The sequence below is a fragment of the Homo sapiens genome, chromosome 10, assembly GCF_000001405.40.
Source record: "Homo sapiens chromosome 10, GRCh38.p14 Primary Assembly".
NCBI lineage: Eukaryota > Metazoa > Chordata > Mammalia > Primates > Hominidae > Homo > Homo sapiens.
The window spans coordinates 49,604,403-49,620,104 of NC_000010.11; the positions used below are offsets into that span (position 1 = coordinate 49,604,403).

The 15,702-nt window shown below is 57.1% G+C and overlaps 2 protein-coding genes across 8 annotated transcripts in view, besides 5 other annotated features; both read left to right on the forward strand.

Annotated features, from left to right (window-relative positions):
* Window positions 2,581–2,875: a silencer, noted in NCBI's record as "tiled region #3429; HepG2 Repressive DNase matched - State 10:DNaseD, and K562 Repressive DNase unmatched - State 8:EnhW". NCBI's record gives its function as "represses a minimal TATA promoter and a strong SV40 promoter by Sharpr-MPRA in HepG2 and K562 cells {active_cell/tissue: HepG2 | K562}" and the evidence as "EXISTENCE:reporter gene assay evidence [ECO:0000049][PMID:27701403]".
* Window positions 4,245–5,040: an enhancer, noted in NCBI's record as "H3K27ac-H3K4me1 hESC enhancer chr10:50816693-50817488 (GRCh37/hg19 assembly coordinates)". NCBI's record gives its function as "activates a minimal SCP1, AML or CMV promoter by ChIP-STARR-seq in naive and primed H9 embryonic stem cells {active_cell/tissue: H9 hESC(naive and primed)}" and the evidence as "EXISTENCE:reporter gene assay evidence [ECO:0000049][PMID:30033119]".
* CHAT (choline O-acetyltransferase) overlaps window positions 4,693–15,702 on the forward strand; it is a 58,848-nt gene continuing 47,838 nt past the window's right edge. For 2 of the 7 annotated variants that reach the window (NM_001142934.2, NM_001142933.2), the window contains exons 1-4: window positions 9,635–10,073; window positions 11,621–11,690; window positions 12,100–12,200; window positions 15,323–15,514. In NM_001142934.2, the coding sequence (NP_001136406.2) occupies window positions 12,168–12,200; window positions 15,323–15,514 (225 nt within the window). In that variant the 5' untranslated portion in view covers window positions 9,635–10,073; window positions 11,621–11,690; window positions 12,100–12,167. Of the gene's footprint in view, window positions 4,798–8,695; window positions 8,801–9,634; window positions 10,074–11,620; window positions 11,691–12,099; window positions 12,201–15,322; window positions 15,515–15,702 lie in introns of those variants that run through there. The other 5 variants (NM_020549.5, NM_001142929.2, NM_020985.4 and 2 more) reach the window with 4 other exon arrangements.
* Window positions 5,041–5,835: an enhancer, noted in NCBI's record as "H3K27ac-H3K4me1 hESC enhancer chr10:50817489-50818283 (GRCh37/hg19 assembly coordinates)". NCBI's record gives its function as "activates a minimal SCP1, AML or CMV promoter by ChIP-STARR-seq in naive H9 embryonic stem cells {active_cell/tissue: H9 hESC(naive)}" and the evidence as "EXISTENCE:reporter gene assay evidence [ECO:0000049][PMID:30033119]".
* On the forward strand, window positions 5,908–8,318 carry SLC18A3 (solute carrier family 18 member A3). The gene has a single exon (NM_003055.3). The coding sequence runs from the start codon at window positions 6,339–6,341 to the stop codon at window positions 7,935–7,937; it is 1,599 nt and encodes a 532-aa protein (NP_003046.2). The 5' UTR covers window positions 5,908–6,338; the 3' UTR covers window positions 7,938–8,318.
* Window positions 6,880–7,776: an enhancer, noted in NCBI's record as "H3K27ac-H3K4me1 hESC enhancer chr10:50819328-50820224 (GRCh37/hg19 assembly coordinates)". NCBI's record gives its function as "activates a minimal SCP1, AML or CMV promoter by ChIP-STARR-seq in naive H9 embryonic stem cells {active_cell/tissue: H9 hESC(naive)}" and the evidence as "EXISTENCE:reporter gene assay evidence [ECO:0000049][PMID:30033119]".
* Window positions 7,777–8,674: an enhancer, noted in NCBI's record as "H3K27ac-H3K4me1 hESC enhancer chr10:50820225-50821122 (GRCh37/hg19 assembly coordinates)". NCBI's record gives its function as "activates a minimal SCP1, AML or CMV promoter by ChIP-STARR-seq in naive H9 embryonic stem cells {active_cell/tissue: H9 hESC(naive)}" and the evidence as "EXISTENCE:reporter gene assay evidence [ECO:0000049][PMID:30033119]".

Genomic DNA, 15,702 nt, shown 5'->3' on the forward strand with positions numbered 1-15,702 from the left:
GTGGAGACTGCTAGAATTGACCCAGCAGTCTCCATTGTTTTTCTATCACTTGGGGAAGCACCTCCACACAAACACAAGGAAATCCATCTCAATACTGTAACACCTAGAAATCAGACCTGACCCAATGCCCATCCATAGGGGACAGCTGAAAATACTGGGGCATGTTCATAGCCAGAAATACTCTGCATCGGCAGCTGAGAAAATCCAACTATTTCTACGTAGGCTAAAATGGATATAATGTTGAGTGGAAAACAAGAGAAATACAGAATGATACATATATAACGAAATTTATGTGAATATGTACTTGTTTAAGTATAATGCCACTCATGTTAAATTTTATATGAGCTCATATGTATGTATGGAAACAAATTTAGAAAGGGTTTGGAAAACGCACACCAAAGCAGTAAGGGTGGTGGCATCTGAGAGGTGACCACCACTCAGAACTTTCATGGTGCTCTGATTTCTATGAAAAGAATGCATATATGTATGAATTACATGATTAATTTTCATTCTAATAAATGTAGAGATGGATTTTTAAAAACCACTGACACATCAGTTCTCATGCAAAATGCTATGGCCAGTGCTGTGCAGAATGCCTAACAAGCAGAATACAGATCTTGTCTGCAAGGGGCTCTGAGGTGTAGGGGAACACCTCCAACATTGTGTGGGATACATTTCAGAAGAGGAGTAGAAAATTTGATTGGATGGGGGCATGTTCACAATGTATTGGGAATCAGGGAAGAATATGGCAACCAAGGAGAGGCAAAACTGGGCAGGAACCAAGGCAACATTGATTGAAAGGTGTGGAGGGAGGAGCTCCTGGGGCCTGTAAGGGAAGATGAAGATGGGAAGGGTGGGAGGCATTGTGGAAGGAAGGCCACCATGTGGGGAGATGATGCTGACTCCAGTCCCAGGCAGCAGGGGTCCCTGAGAGGTCTGTGAACAGACTGGAAGCTTGCCTGAAACTTTGCAGAGAAAAGAAGCTTGGCATCCCTGCAGGGGTGGATTGTCAGGGTCTGGAGGCAAGGGACAAGTGAAGGGATTAACTGTCCCACTGTGGGGGAAGATGTAGGATCTGGGCTGGGGGCAGGCAGGGAGTGGTCTCAATGGAGGAGGGAAATGAATCTGAGACATTAATTGGATTGAGACGGAAAGAAAGTGGAGAGAACAGAAACCAAAGGGATTTGGAGGCCATGCTTCCAACGAATGATTCATAGTTAGTGTCAGGGAGCCAGAAAAAAAGCAAGTGAGCAAGGTCCTGTCCCTGGGAGCTGTAGAGAGGAGCCCTGGGGCCCACCCACAAAGCAGCACCTGCAGTCTCTTTCCCTCTCGAAGCCCAGCTATGTTGTGCACAAAGCAAGTCTGGGCACCGAGGACAGGCTGGCCAAGGGCAGGCAGGCAGGCACGTAGTCCTCTGGCTTCCAGCCACCACACTCACAGGTTTCTGGGAAAGGCTGACTGGGGCCACTTTGTTCCTTTGAATCTGAGAATATATGACTGGGGAAGCCTAAATTAATTAAATGATGCTGAGGCCCGCCTGAGCCGGTGCACAGGGGATGGGTTATGGAGCCCTGAGCAAACTGCACCCCTAGCCCCCAGTGCTGGAATCCAGAGAGGCTCATGAGCTCGATTGGAACGAAGCCTGTGCTTAAGTGCTTCCAGAGAGACAAAGAAATAATAAATCAGGAGCAGGTGCCCCACCCACACACTGCCATCACCAACACCAGCCTGCTTCTCCACAGAAATACAGTGGTTTCACCTCTCTGGAACCAGATGTTTCAGGGAAGCAACAAATGGCAAAGCCCTGGAAATGACATGGCCCCACAACCTTCTCAGAAATGAGGCCAGGCTGGGCTGGCACCTCCATCCACAGCAGCACCCCACCACCACAACCCACCCAAGACCTCCAAACACCCCCTAGACCTCACCCAGGCACTGGTGCAGCATGGCTATCCTTCCACCCCTCCCAAACTCCCACACACCAGGACTCCCCCATCCCCAGCAAGCCCCCCTCCCCTGACAGGGCACTGATCCAGCAAGGAAGAAATTTTAGTCCATCAGACTGTGGACACAGTTGTATCTTGTGGATAAAATGAGAAGAAGTGTTGTCAGCTAGAAATCACCAATTTGTCTCTATCCATATAAAATAATAACAATTAAACTCCTACTAGGTATCAAGCATTGGGCTAGACATGTTCAAGTGAGCTATCTCGCAGTCTTTAGCCATCCTGCAGCAGGGCCACATGGTGGCTGGGAGCAGGAAGCTGGAACTAAATCACCTGCATGGGAATCCCATCTTTACCACTTGTGAGCTCTCTGACTGAATACATTACTTTACCTAAGTGTCTTTGCCTATAAGAAAGTAATATGAAGGTTGGTGAGAGAATTCAATGAGTTAGTGCTTATCAAATGCTTAGAACGGTGCCTGATGCCTTATAAGCTCTACTATGTGTCTAGTAAATACGTTCCTTCCTTCCTCTACTCATTCAACTTTAATTGAGTACCAGATATGAACGCTGCCCTAACAGCTGCTATTTCTGGTTGAGAAAGGAGAGAAAAATGCTTCCGTTTTCTCCTACAGGATTGGACAGGAAGTTCTCTGTTGCCTGCAAGTTATGCTCAGATAGAGGAGTCCGGAAAGGAATTTACCAAGCGTTCAAGTGAAGAGGAAGCCAGAGGGGCGGGGCCTCCGTGGGAGGCTTCTTGGTTGCGGTGGGGCCGGGGCCAGCACCCTGGACAGCTCCCGGCGGCTGGCGGGGAGAAGAGGCTTTGCCAGGTCCCATCTCGGCTCAGACCCTCCCGTAGCCTTTTGCTGCAGGGGCCTGACGCCTCCTTGCAACCCCGGCACTCCCGTATTTGGAGCCACGATGGATTGGGGGGGCGTTGCCCTCTGATCTGAAAGTTAGAGAATGAGGGAGTTTAGTGTCTTTGGAGCCTCCTTAGGGAGCCAGCCCAGGACCTTCCTCCTCCCATGGGTCTTGATCTGCTCCTCACCCCTACACTGCCAGCGTGCGGCCACCTTGGAGATGGAGCAGCAGGAGCACGACGCCGTGCCGGGAATAGGGAAGCAGTGTGAGGACCACAAGACAGGTCCCCCAGCCTGGGTTTAATTCCAGGATCTGCTGCTGGGAGCTTGGGCAAGCACCCAGCATCTCCACGCCCAGCTTCCTCACCTGATAAGACCAGGGGAATAGCACCTACACTGCACCAGGATTGCAGGAGAATGGAGTAAAACAGCACACACAATACTCCTGGCACAAAGCAAGTAATAAATGAGTGTGCCTCCTGCCATACAGGAACCGAGGACTGGAGAGCTAGTCATGAGCCCAGAGATACCTGGCTTCATGCTCAGGAACAGCCATGTGGGCCAGAGGGCTGGAGATGTGGTCTGCACCTTGAAGGCCCTGGGAAAGTTCCTGTCCTCTATGATTCCTCTGTTCTTCAGCCACTAGACATAAAAAAAAATTGTCCTTCAAGTCCTCCTTCCTCCTTTCTTTAATCAGACAGGGGAAATAGCATGTGCATAAATAATAATTGTTTTGTAGGCTGGGAGACTGCCCCTTTAAGAGCCTCATAATGGGAGAGTCAGAAGAGCCCAGAGGTCTCAAACGGAAATGACTGGAGAACCAGCAAGTGGCATAAGTGTGTGAAGTCAGCTGGGGCGAGATTGGGATGTGCTGGAGAGTGTGCATGTACTGACGAAAGGCCATCAAATACAATTTAAAATAATTAGCCCACTCCAAAGAGTCTTCTGCAGCACGCACTTCTGCTAAGGGCTGCAGTGAGTGGGCTCTCACCTCAACCTGAACCAGACGGAGGCTGAGGCTGGGCCCCACTGAGGGGCTGTGACTTGCCCAAGGTCATCCAGGGCCAGGCCTGTGCCCACATTGGGACTCTTTTCCTCCCTCAGACAGAGGGCACTTCAGTCACTGCAGAGCAGGTGGCAGCAGCCCTTCAGTGGATGAGTTTCTCCTTTCCCAGGGTGACTGGGTGGGTGAAGGAATTGAGCAACAGGTGGCCAGGCTGCCGCCTCTCACCCTGACACATTGGTCCCCATCCCCTCATCCTACAGCCATCTCAGGGACAGATGGAGACATTCCAATGCCCTCCGGGTCCTCCACCAACCCAGACAGAGCCTGGAGTCACAATGCCCACCTAGCCAGAGGGATCAGCCAGCTAGCCAAGTGCCCCCTGTGTCTTTCATCTGTTCTTCACAAGACCCACAAGTGAAAAATGAGGATAAACCGCACATTCTACACACGATAACAACATAGCAAGTCCTTATACTGCTCTTACTGTGTGCCCGGCCCCCTTAGCAGTAGGTACTATTATTATTCAATTTTACAAAGAAACTAACTGAGGGACAGAGAGGCAAAGTAATTCCCTGCAGGTACTCTAATGAGTACGTGGCAGAGCTGGGAGCCATCCTGGTTGTCTGCCTCGAAAGACCACACTCTTTGCACTGCATCGCGGCACTTCCTGCGGGGTGGGGGGCACAATGGGAGAAGCATCTGCGTCTAATGCTGCTTTACTTTTGAGGCCAGAAAAATGGGAAGGCTCCCCTCTGACTCTGGAAGAGAGACGCAAACCGTAATCTCAACAACACAATCCCCACCTCCAACCTCAGCCGCCCTGGAGCCTCTCTCCCGCCAGTCCGCCCACTGGAACACGGGTTCCATGTGCCATCCAGGGTCAACGCCGCTCTGGGGACGCGTCAGGCCCAGCGCACAGCCTGGGCAGCTCAGCCTGTCAGCTGAGCACGGGCGCCTCAAGGGGTGCGGCCCTCTCAGAAGGAAGGTGAGTCTCCCTGGAGCCCCTGACGACAGCGAAGCGGCTGGGCGCTCTCCGGGGAGTGGGCGCGGCACCCAAGAAGGGTTTCTTACAGTTCCAAGAGAGGACCCCAGCCACAGTCACTCCAGAGCCCACCCGGGGCTTGGAGGAGGCTCTGGAAAATGAGGGATGGGGGAGTGTGCAGAACAGGGGGCGGAGGCTGGCAGGAGCCGAGGGAGGGCTTGGTCGGGTGCGAAGAGTGCCTGGGAGGAGTTAGAGTGGGGAGGGGGTGCGGCGGCGGGGAGAGAAGAGGCGGAGCTGGGGGACCAGACCGCTAAAGGAGAAAGGGGGATTCCAGGCAAGGGGAATGTGGCCAGGCAGTGCGGGAGGGCGGCAGCGGCCAGGCTAATATTCGCGACCCCGACTGGGGCGCGGCAACTTCTGCCCTCAGTCCCCACAAGCTCCCGGCCGCGATTCGCGGCCGAGAAATTCTGCGGAGGGGCCGGTGGGTCAGAGCCAGGCCAGGCAGTTGCTGAGCCTTCCCCTCCCCTCCTGGCGGGAGTGTGTGTGCAAGGGGCCAGGGGGCGGAGTCGGAGAAAGGGTTGGGGGTGTCCGTGTCCAGCGCTCCTCCGGACGCGGCTCCACAATCCAGCTGCGAGAACAGATGGACGCAGCGGCGGCTCACCTCGGGGGCTTCCTGCTCGCTGTGCGCCGAGGTCCAGGCTGAAGCGGAGATCGCAAGCCTCTGGCTCCCGCCTCTCCCAAGGGGCCTCGAGGAACCGGCTGCCGCGCCCCCTTCCCCAAGAGGAGAAGAGCGGGCGCTGACCCCGCGAGTCCTAGAACCGCGGGCGGGGGGCAGGCAGGGGGCGGGGGGCAGAGGGCCAGCTACCGGCGCGGAACGCCCATCCCAGGGGCTGGTTCAAGACTTCCACACCGAGAGCCCTTCCTGGGCCTCCAGCCCTGGAGCATCTGGAGAGCGGACCCCTGCCCGGCCACGCCCCGCCCCCGGCCCCCGCCCCGCCGACGTCGCATTAGCATGAGCGACGTAAGTGGCCCGGGCACCACTCGGGGGCTGGGACTCGCCGCGTCACAGCCCCGAGTGGAAGGGAAAAAAAAAGAGGAGGCGGCGGAGGAGGCAAGAGCCGACGCGAGGGGAGGGGAGCGCAGCGGCGGGGCTAACGGGCGGGCAAGCGGGCGGGCGGCAACAGCATGTCCCTCGGCCAGCGCGGGCGGCCTCTTAGCGCGGCGGGGGCTGCTCTGGGCGCGCCCCGGGCGAAGTGCGCCCAGTCTCCGGCCCCGGCCCCTCGGCGCGCCCGACTTCCCGGCCGCCCCTGAGCCCAGCAGCCGCGGGTCCCGGGATCGGCTAAGAGTAGCTGCAACGCCTCGCCGGACGGAGTCCTTTCCTTTCCCGGGACGCTGGGCCATGAGCTCCGCGGCCACCTGAGGCACAGGGGAGTCTGCTCGGCCAGGACAGCCTCCCCGAAGTCCCGTGCCCTCGCCTCTGCACTGCGGGACGCCAGCGCTCGGCCCTGGCGGAGGCGTCCTCGGAAGAGCATCGGGGTGGGGGCATGGAATCCGCGGAACCTGCGGGCCAGGCCCGGGCGGCGGCCACCAAGCTGTCGGAGGCTGTGGGCGCGGCGCTGCAGGAGCCCCGGCGGCAGAGGCGCCTGGTGCTTGTTATCGTGTGCGTGGCGCTGTTACTGGACAACATGCTGTACATGGTCATCGTGCCCATAGTGCCCGACTACATCGCCCACATGCGCGGGGGCGGCGAGGGCCCCACCCGGACTCCCGAGGTGTGGGAGCCCACCCTGCCGCTGCCCACTCCGGCCAATGCCAGCGCCTACACGGCCAACACCTCGGCGTCCCCGACAGCTGCGTGGCCAGCGGGCTCAGCCCTTCGGCCCCGCTACCCTACGGAGAGCGAAGACGTGAAGATCGGGGTGCTGTTTGCTTCCAAGGCTATCCTGCAGCTGCTAGTGAACCCCTTGAGCGGGCCCTTCATCGACCGCATGAGCTACGACGTGCCGCTGCTGATCGGCCTGGGCGTCATGTTCGCCTCTACAGTCCTGTTCGCCTTCGCCGAGGACTACGCCACGCTGTTCGCGGCGCGCAGCCTGCAGGGCCTGGGCTCAGCCTTCGCCGACACGTCTGGCATAGCCATGATCGCCGATAAGTACCCGGAGGAGCCGGAGCGCAGTCGTGCACTGGGCGTGGCGCTGGCCTTCATTAGCTTCGGAAGCCTAGTGGCCCCGCCCTTCGGGGGCATCCTCTATGAGTTCGCCGGCAAGCGCGTGCCCTTCTTGGTGCTAGCTGCCGTGTCGCTCTTTGACGCGCTGTTGCTGCTGGCAGTGGCCAAACCCTTCTCGGCGGCTGCACGGGCTCGGGCCAACCTGCCAGTGGGCACTCCCATCCACCGCCTCATGCTAGACCCCTACATTGCCGTGGTGGCCGGCGCGCTCACCACCTGTAACATTCCCCTCGCCTTCCTCGAACCCACCATTGCCACGTGGATGAAGCATACGATGGCGGCTTCCGAGTGGGAGATGGGCATGGCCTGGCTGCCGGCCTTCGTGCCTCATGTGCTGGGCGTCTACCTCACCGTGCGCCTGGCGGCGCGCTACCCACACCTGCAGTGGCTGTACGGCGCGCTTGGGCTGGCTGTGATCGGCGCCAGCTCGTGCATCGTGCCCGCCTGCCGCTCCTTCGCGCCGCTAGTGGTCTCACTATGCGGCCTCTGTTTTGGCATAGCCCTAGTCGACACAGCACTGCTGCCCACGCTCGCCTTCCTGGTGGACGTGCGCCATGTCTCAGTCTATGGCAGCGTCTACGCCATCGCCGACATCTCCTATTCGGTGGCCTACGCGCTCGGGCCCATAGTGGCAGGCCACATTGTGCACTCGCTGGGCTTTGAGCAGCTCAGCCTTGGCATGGGACTGGCCAACCTGCTCTATGCTCCCGTCTTGCTGCTGCTCCGCAACGTGGGCCTCCTGACGCGCTCCCGTTCCGAGCGCGATGTGCTGCTTGATGAGCCACCGCAAGGTCTGTACGATGCGGTGCGCCTGCGTGAGCGTCCTGTGTCTGGCCAGGACGGCGAGCCTCGCAGCCCGCCTGGCCCTTTTGATGCGTGCGAGGACGACTACAACTACTACTACACCCGCAGCTAGCATCCCCACTCCTCCTCCAGCCCACCCAACCGCCTTGGGTCAAGGGGGCTGCTCTGCAAGCCCACTGGCCAGCTCTGGCTCAGGGCCCACCTCCTCCAGCGAGTACCCCAGCCACTCCTCAACCTTGACTTCTGCCCAAATCCCCTCCCTGTGACCCGTTCCATATCCCTTTCTCTCTTGTCCAATGGGGCTTGGAGCACCGAGGCCAGCGAAGCCATCGCGCTCCTTGCGGAGGTGAAGAGGACCCTGAGTCCCCACCTGCGGCTCCCCTGTGTAGAGCCTGCATCTGTCTGTCCTTCCTTCCATTGCTCCCAGTGCCAAACTTGGGCCGCTGCACCGCGGCGCCTCCGCCCAAATCAATAAACTGTGTCTGTCCCAGGAGGCCGAGTCTCTTTACTGGTGGGGGGTGCGTGGAGGCGCGCAGGGCCAGAGCAGAGGGGAGGGTGAACTGGGTCTCCAAGTCCCAATCCAGACCTAAGCCAAACTAACACGTAGGCACCTGTAGCTGTTTTTCTACCTGGAAAAGGGGATAGGAAGGAAGCAAACCCAACAAAGGCTGTCACCCACGGTCACCAAGGAGCACCATGCTCCCCTCAGCCCAGGATAGACCCTCTTTTCCAGGCCTAGCGCAGAGCCCGGGGATGCCGCCCGGGGGAGCCTGAGGACCCGCTCCAGCTAGGCACGCCAGGCCCCGCCCTTTGAGGACACGCCCCACACCAGCCTCAGAGCTCTGAGGTGCCTGGGCTGAGCTTCCCTTCAGACCAGAATCCCGCCCCGTTGAGGCTTTGAGAAAGGAGTAGGAGCCGAGCATTCCGGCAGAGGAAGAAAAACGGCCCATCTTTTAGAGTCCGACCTCTGGAAATGTGTGTATGATGTGATGTGTGTGTTCATTAGAGAACTTGTCCTAGGAGGAGTGGGGGAGCCGTGGTTGGTGTTTGCTGTATCCCTGTCAGTCCCGAGGGTCTGAGTCTTGAAGGGAGAGATGCGAGTGTGGGATCTGGTGCCAACCCCCACTGCCACCCTGTCCTGAGTGGGAGCAGCGGCCCAGGACTGTCAGGAAAGTTTCCCATCCTTAGTCCCAGCCCTGAGAGCCTCAAGCCAGCGTTCGCGCAACACTCCATGTCCCGAAGACCGTAGTCTGATGATCGAGGCAGAGTCTTCCCATCATAGCGTGAAGAGGCGGCTGGTCAGGGTCGCCTGTGTGTTAGCTGCGCCTGTGAGGGTCTGCTCTGCTGTTGTGCGCATGTCTGTCCTCGATCTGCGAGTCGGGCTGTGTGTGCCTGGGCGGAGTCTGCCTTTGTCGGTCTGTCTGTGCTATTTCTGTGTGGGGGTCTCTATCTGGGGTGGGGGATGCTTTTGTCTGAGAGGAGAGCCTGCCTCTTGCCGCAGTCCTTAAGCATCCTCAGGTCTGCCATCAGGATTGTCCCAAGTCTGTAGCACCCCACCTCTGCTCCCCACCCCATAGTGCCAGCAGGAATGGGATGGTAACAGAAAGGGAAGTCCTGCAGTGAATATTGATCCCAGTTATTGTTTCTTATTATTATTTTGAAAGATGGTGTAGCAGGGTTTGAGACTGGCCTGGATGGTGGGGAGAGGAGGGCAGCGAGCAGAGACTTCCTCAGACCCAACCCTCTCCAGGATTCAGCAGCAGCACCCCAAGGCTGGAATAATGGGGTTGGGGAAGTGCGGTGACTGGGAAATGCTGAGCTAGGGGCAGGAGGCATGGGCGGGACAGTGTTCTGTGCCCCCTTCTAGAGCCTAAATTTGTTGCCCGAGTTCCTCCGGGAAGCGCTCCGGGTAGATTCTGGGGGCCGGGAGCTGAGATCCCTGGGCGGGGAGCTGGGGAAGGGATGGGGCTGAGGACAGCGAAGAAGAGGGGGCTTGGGGGAGGGGGGAAATGGAAGAGAGAGGAGGGAGGAGGTACAAGAGGAAGGAGAGAAGTGCGGCCAGCTTGCTTTCTCCAGTCGGGTGGCCGCGGGGACCCGGGCGACGTCGGAGGCCCTGCCGGGAACCCAGGCTGCAGCCCCCACCCCCGCGCTGCGACACGCCCCCCACCCCTTCCGGCTCACACCCCCGCCCACACTCCTGAGTGGTGCGGTGCAGCGTCGGCCGAGGCAGCAGAGCCGAGGAGAGCAGGTGAGAAGAAGGGCTGGGCTGGGCTGGCGGAGCGCGGTGCCGGGAGCAAGGGCGGCGGTCGGGGGCTCTATCCAGGGACAGCACCGGGGCCGAGAGGCCCCAGGACTCGTGGAGTCCTCTGAGTCCTGCGCAGCAGCGGCCGTCGGGGGTCAGCTAGGAAGCTGCAGGATTGCGTTGCTTCGGTGCCTGGGCTTGGGGAGGCTTAACCATCAGGGCTTCGGGACTCCAAGCGCATGTTCTCACTTCACTTGGCCCAGCATCTGCTAAGTGACCAGGTCCGCGCTTTCTGTGTCTAGTCGGAGGGTCCTTGGGTCTGACCCGACTCGCCTGAATTGCTGGTTGGCAACCGCTTCTCCCGGGAGCAGGGGGTGGGGAAGGAGGAGCAGTGGCTGGTGGCAAGTCTGAGCCAGGACATAGCCGATGACAGCCTGTGAATGACCGGCCAGACTGGGGTTGGACCTTCGGGGCAGAGCAGGCAGCCCTTGGAAAGCCAGGCTGGCAGGAGCATGGGTGGGAGGCACAAAACACAAACAGACATATATACACATACATCCTCTAGGCATCTGCCCAGGAGTGATGGAGGAAGAAGAGTTGGTAGGTGGGACCACCAGGAAACCATCCCACCCAGCTCTGCCTTCTTCAAGCTCAGGGTCCCTGAAGCCTGACTAGTGTCTCCCGAATGGGGGGGAGGGGGGGGCTCTGGGCCAGAGCAAAAGGAGGCATTGGCTGCATGGTCTGTAGGGCCTTTACCAACCTGACCTTGTCCTTGCTGTCCTCTCAAAAGACTGCCATGCTCCGGTGAATCCTCACCAGGACGCCACCTCTTTCACTTTGCAGTTGGGGGCAGCCCCTACGAACCCACAGCACTGGGAGGCGTGGGAACAAGCCTGTGGAGAGTGTCCCTGCACTGTGCCAGCAAGGGCTTTACATTCTCTGCCCAGCACTGCAAGGCAGCCCCAGGCTCCTCCATCCTTGGGCCTGGTTCATCCATCTTTCTGGACTCTCTGTTCCTGGCAACAACCCTGCCAGGTGCCCATACATGGGCGGTGCTTGCCTCTGGGTAGGGGTGGTGTTGGGTGGGGAGAGGGGTGAGGAAATTAGCTAAACCTCAGCTTTAGACTTGAGAGAATAGAGGGTGGGCTGGTGGAAAACATGAGTATGTGCCTGTGGAGGCTTAGGTTCAGGGGGATCTCAGAGGGTAGCAATTGTGACCCACAGCCTAATAATAACAGTCTTTGCCCTCTTGGCCTGGCTCACTTCTACTGTACCTTCAAAATTAATCTGCCTCTCCCCAGACTAAGGCAGGTGGCCCCTAGGGGCCCTGGCTGCCCAGCCTCCCTGCATACCTCCCTGGGCACTCCTATGGCATCTACACTGGCAGCCTGCAGACCCGAGACTGCCTAGGTCACAACGCCTCCAGCAGGCCCAGAGTCTCCCTGCCCTGGCCACAGGCCAGGCTCCCAATTAGCCCAGATGCATCCTGGAGCACAGGGCCTTAAAGGCCTCCATTCACCCACGCATGCATTCCTTTCCCTCCACCAACGGAGTGAGGGAATTCACCCTACTCCACACCAGAGATGTGGCCGGAATGCAGAGATGAAGCACTGAGCACAGTAGGTATGGTCTTACCCTTGAGAAGCTAGTGGGAAAGAGAGAGTTTGATTGGCAAAGCACTTATCTATTGGGTTCCAGGCAGGAACAAAGGCAGCACTCTGCCAGCAACCCCTGGTGGATTTGGATTGCCCCAGGGTGGTCAGCTGGCCTTGGGTGACAACAGACTCATGAGAGCAGACCCTCACTTTAGGAACCACTCTCTCCCATATGGGGGCCCAGAGAGAACACTGTGGTCAGCACGTACAGGTGGAAGTAGAGACTGGGGCCACGCCTGCAATGAGACCCCTATACACAGCTGTCAGGCTCTGGCCTCCTCATGGGGCTGGGGTGGGGGTCTGTTGGCGGGAGGTGGAGGGTTTGTGACAGGCCTATGTGGCTGCTGTGTTGATGCTTCCCACTTCTTGGTCCCCAGGTCCACACCTCTGCATCCCTGCACCAGGACTCACCAAGACGCCCATCCTGGAAAAGGTCCCCCGTAAGATGGCAGCAAAAACTCCCAGCAGTGAGGAGTCTGTGAGTGACTTTTGGAGCCCTCTCTCAACCCTGCTTTCCCCACCTACATGCCCTTGCTTCTAGAACAGTCCTGAGTGGGACTGGCCCCCAGCATTTGCCTGGCCCCAGCCCTGCCCTCTACTGGCACAAGGCCCAGGCTACAGCTCCACCCCCAGCTTGCTGAGGATCCCAGAAGGGCCTGGAGGGGCTGAGACGGGCCTCAGGGTGCCAAGGAAATGCTAAGAGCTTAACTTCCAAATCCCCTGGCCAGGCTAGGCCCTATCTTTCCTTCCAGGGCCTCTCTTCATCCCAGCTTCCACTTCTGATAGCTTTGAGCCCAGTGATTTTGCCTTAGGGTGGGGCTGAATTCCTACTCCAAGCCCTGCAAGTCCCAGCTCCAGCTGCTATCACTAGTTCAGCCTTGGAGCCTTAGGCACCATGTTCTCCACTGGCCTGAGACAATGCCATCCTCCCTGGGCAGGCATCCTCCCTCCCGCCCCAGCCAGCCTTCGGGTGGCAGAGCAACACACCTGACTTCAGGTGGTTGCATGTGTTTCCCCTCTCCCACACTTGTCTTTTTGCCACTCCTCTTCCCCCTTCCCCCTTCCCCTTTCCCCCAGCCCTCATTTGAAACCCTGAGCAGAATTTTCTGGCTTCTCCCCAAGAAGCTGTTCACTCCATTGCCCTGAATTCTGCAGCTGACAAACATCTATTGTCACCTCTGGTCCACTGGCATGCTTCTCTACCCACCCCATTGGGCTGTGGCTTCCTTCAGAGCAGGCTCTGTTTCTCCATCGTCTCTGAGTCCAGCCCAGGATCTGACTCACATGAACTGCCCAGGAAACATGGAGTTTTGGAGCATTGATCTGAGACTCCCAGGTCCAAAGACACTCCTTAGCACAGGGCCAGAAGTCCAGGAGAGTCTGGGGAGGATCCCTGGGGGGTTGAGATGTCTGAGCTGCGATTTCCTGCTTTATTCCTTTTTACCCACTGCTGATTCCCTGTTAGCCAGGCTAAGTCACAGCGCACTGTCAGAGCCTGGAAGAAGGGGAGCAGTGTCTGGCAGAGGATCTAGCCAGACTTGTGGGCCCTTTTGGCCAGGTCACTAACTGGGCTGGGCTTTCTGTAGGTGCTCACCCACCCATCACACAGACCACCCCCCCCACCGCAAGAGATGGAAGAACAAGATCAGCTGGGTTGGGGGCCCAGACCTGGCTCACTGGGGTTGGGCAGGGCAGTCTGGGATGCTGTCCAGATCCATCCTCGCATCATTCCCCAGGGCAGGAGCAGCCCGTAGTTGGCACTGACACCCCACTGTTGCCAGAGAAGTGAACCCTAGAGGCAGGATCAGACAGGCAGAGGGCCGTCATTCATCCATCAGCAGCAGGGGCAGAGAAGGAGGTGCTTTTAAGGGGCCCATTCACTCTGCAGCCTATGGGGAGGAACCCTTTACTGTCTCATGGAAACTCATCACTGCACAAAGAAGCCCCTGAAGGAAGGTGCCTCACTGTCTACCAGTGTGTCCCAGGAACCATATTGCAGAATTCTGGTCATTAGGGCAGCAATGAATTATGTCTCTTATCCAAAGCCATCTTTTATCCTTCCAAATCTCTCCACAAGAGTACACCCTTCAGGTCCGGAGATCAGCTAGATTCTGGAGCCCCAGCTGAGAACAGTTTATAAATTAAGACTGACCAGGAGACAACAATATCAATAACAGGACTATTTCATCTTAGATCTATCCTTTATGGCTTAAAAGCACTTTCACGTACATTAGCTCTTTAATCCTATGAAAGGCAGGGTTTGCTACCCCCATTTTACAGGAGAAGAAACTGTACAATTTAAGCAATATTATTATAAGTTCTGCCTTCCTATTGTCACTGGCCAAGTGAGGGACAAGAAGAGGAAACGAATGGAAAAGGGAGTGAAAGGGAAGGGAGAGAACGACCCAGGAGAAAGAAGCAGAGTGGACATGGAAGACTGATTTTAGCTCCTAGTCTGCCATCAGATTTGTATGTGACCTTGGACCAGCTGCTCCACTCTCTGGGACTCAGTTTCCTCATTCATAAATGGGAAGTCACAAAATTGAAGCCACACAGAAGCCTTCTGTGGTGAACGCTGCTGGTGAACTGAGAGGCACAGCATGCGTATAGAAGGGTGGAGTTGGGGGTTCTTCCTAGACTCTAGCCACACTTTGGGGCCCCCAAAGAATATGGGTTTCCTCTTGGGAATTCCTCTGGAAGTATAAGATAGCGAGGTCATAACATTTTAGATGTGCCTATTTGAGGCCAGTTGTTCCCCCATTTAATTCTCTCTGTGTTCCTCTCAGGTAGGAATTGTTATTTATGTCCTATGGATGAGGAGCAGAGGCTTGGAGAGATTCGGAGAGGAAGGACATCCACTGCATCCCCACCCCTGCCCCTAACACCCACATGAAACAAAATTCCCTGCCTGGGTTTTATAAGTAGGAGGGACTTATAAGAAGCTCAGGGCATGAATCATCTTCTGAGGAACCCTCTTTTAGAATTCTAGTCATTAGGGCAGCACTGAATTATGTCTCTCATCCAAAACCATCTTTTATCCTTCCAAATCTCTCCCTAAGAGTGCCCCCTTCAGGTCCAGAGATCAATCAGATTCTGGAGCCCCAGCTGGGAACAATCTCTAAATTAAGAGTCACCAGCAGCCAACAATATCAATAACAGGACTATTTCATCTTAGATCCATCCTTTATGGCTTAAAAGCACTTTCATATCTATTTTCTGTTTGATCCTATGAGAGATAGGGGTTACTACTCCCATTCTACAGAGGAAGAAACTGAGGCACAGAGGGAGGCTGATTTGCCCAAGTTTGCAGAGCTGGTCAGTGGCAGGGTCAGGGTAGAAACCCAGGTCTGTCTGATGCCAATATCACCGTATTTTCCTCTGCACTTTATCCCTTTCTGGGGACAGAGCACAATGAGGTCAGGGACGCCAAACAGGAACTTCCTAAATTCATAATTTTGCTGAGCTGAGCCCTAGAAATGGAGGGGTCCCAGGGTAGAGAACAACACAGGGGCAGAACAATACAGATACTAGGGACCAACTTGGGGACAGGCATGGGGCGCACATACTAGAGGCACAATGCCTATGAACCCTTTCTTCCAGGGGCTGCCCAAACTGCCCGTGCCCCCGCTGCAGCAGACCCTGGCCACGTACCTGCAGTGCATGCGACACTTGGTGTCTGAGGAGCAGTTCAGGAAGAGCCAGGCCATTGTGCAGCAGTTTGGGGCCCCTGGTGGCCTCGGCGAGACCCTGCAGCAGAAACTCCTGGAGCGGCAGGAGAAGACAGCCAACTGGGTAAGAGGGGCAGACAAGGAACCCATAGAAGAGGGGCGGGAGGCAGACCTGGAGACAGAGGGATCTCGGTGAGAGGCAGGTAGGGGACAAAGACAGGGCAGAAGGAGAGATGAGGGACAGGGATGGGGGATAGGTGTGGGAACAGGCAGGTGGCATGGATTGGAGGACAGGAAGGGACAAGGATGAGA

Coding starts and splice junctions, on each gene's coding strand:
- SLC18A3 (NM_003055.3), top strand. CDS start 6,339: ATGGAATCCGCGGAACCTGCGGGCCAGGCCCGGGCGGCGGCCACCAAG.